The following is a 2,398-nucleotide window of genomic DNA, read 5'->3' as shown; positions in this document are numbered from 1 at the left end:
GACTTGAGTATATCTATATGTCTCAAAATTAGCAAGATACAAACACAGGGATTTCAGTGTGCACATTTTACAGAGATTTTAATATGATATTTGCTATGAAAATAAAACCAAATGAAAGGGAATGTGAAAAACAAAAAAACAAAACTAAATTACAAAGAAGAACTTCATAATCTATTGAGAGTAAGAATTCAAAGACAAATTATTGTAATAAGGTAGATTATATAATGAAACTTTTGTAACAACTGTCCATACGGATCTAAAGAAAGATCAAAATTAGTATGATAAATGCCAAATATAATTCAGAAAGAAAAATGGCAGTGAAAATAGGAGCAATCACTAATGATGTATCTAAATTTCAGTTCAAAGTTTAAAAGTCAACATAAATCCAAGTATTTGAATAGGTCAAAAAACATTTATCTTAGATTTGATGTGAAAGAAGACGTCAAAATCAAACCAAAGTAGTAACAAAACTTGAAAAAAGTAGAAGCCCATGTGATAAAATATAAAGATGTTAAAAATTTTTAATTTTGTATAGTTCATTTTAAACTGACTATGCTTACTTATGCAATACGTTAGATTTTATACCAGTTCATATGATCTATCTATTAGAGAATGAAAGAATACTCCAATTAGGCTAGACTTCTTTTTTTTAGAAAGGGTATGCAGTAGAATACATGCAGACGTCATCCAATTTACCCACCAAGAAAGTCAACCCCGCCCTTGGGTGAGTCCATAAGACATGAATATAATGACTTATGAACCACCAGTGACAAATTTACCTTTTTATAAGCTCATGATTGCTATTAATTTATTAATTGACATTATGTTACAAATTACATTTGCATGAATATTTTAATACAGTGTTAAATATTTAGAATTCTTTAGAAATAAAAAAGATGAGGCAAGTTAAATGTCATATTATTTTTACTAAAGTTTTGTTAAGTCAAATAACAATATAGTACAATTAAAGTGCAAAGTTGAATGATCAGGAGATGGTCACACATGCATGCACATGCACACACATACACACACACATACACACTTACTATAACCATAATATCTCATTTGTTTTGGTTTTAGTCAAATGGCTAAACAGAAATAATGTTCAATACCAACACACACAGACACACACACACACACCCCCTACAAAAGTAGGTAAACTTATGTTTGAAGAAGTCGGCATTCATAAAAAATATGAAGAGGTAAAATTCACAATAAATATTTTACATTTATAAAGGTCTATGTACCAAGTAGCATGCAGTCAACATTTATAAAGCAAAACAATAGGAGAAATAAGTAGACAATGTTATTCACTTACCTAAGTCTACAACAGGAGAAGTAAAGAAAGACACATGTAACAATGACAGAAATAGATTCTATAGGTGTCTGATATAAATAAAGATAGTTATGTATATATAGATAGATATGTACATAATTCTGTATGATGTAAAAGGAGAGCATATTTGCTTTAAAAGTTTCCATAGAACAGTCATGTAAATGTTCTTAGAATAGCTCACAATCTCAATACTTTCCAAAATGTATAATTAGAGTTGTTTCTGGTTACAATGAATGTAAGTAGAATTTAAGTATAGAATCACAAAAATATTTCTACAACATGGACATTAAAAAAAAACTTTATGTCAAGCAACTATAGGTTCAAAAGGATGCAAGGTAGGGATGTTGTGTGTCTGAATTTCAAGGGAAGGAGTTTTTCTTTGCAAATAGGAGGAGCTTCACTTCCCAAGAATCTGAAAAGGAGCAAATAAAGAATACATTGAGATGAAGTTAAGGAAACATAAAATTGGTGCCTGAATTTTATATGACATTAAAATGTTACTTTATATAACATTTAAATTAAAATTTCAGATATTTTCTCTGTATATACAGAAAATTAAGAATTTCAGCATGACAAAGATACCCAACATAACTTAAAAGACAAACAATGGACAGTGAGTAACCATCTAAATGCAAAAAAGGAATAATATTGCTCATGTAAAACATGCACATATAAATTGAAAAAAAGCAATTCAACATTAAGTAGACAAAAGTAATCAAAAGAAAAATTATGGAATAGGAAATGTAAATGACTAATTAAAGATGACTTTAGGGAAAAATGAGAACATCTTTTCACTCATCCAGTTAGAAAAATCAAAGATTGATAACCGTCAGTGATGATAAGTCTTTATAAAAATGGGCATTCTCATTCCTTGCTAACCCATTAACCTACGAATAACATGGGTATTACAAAGGGATAAAATTGGAGGAGGGGGCAGTCAATATATTTCTATATAATTTTTACTTCTAAAATGAGTATGTGTTCATTTGTAGTTTCAAAATCCAAGAACAAAAATCTGATTTTAAAATTGTTGACTATAAGTTGATGCTACCTTACATCAGA

The sequence above is a fragment of the Homo sapiens genome, chromosome 3 (assembly GCF_000001405.40).
Source record: "Homo sapiens chromosome 3, GRCh38.p14 Primary Assembly".
In the NCBI taxonomy this organism is placed as follows: domain Eukaryota; kingdom Metazoa; phylum Chordata; class Mammalia; order Primates; family Hominidae; genus Homo; species Homo sapiens.
Note: the sequence above shows the minus strand (reverse complement) of the source record.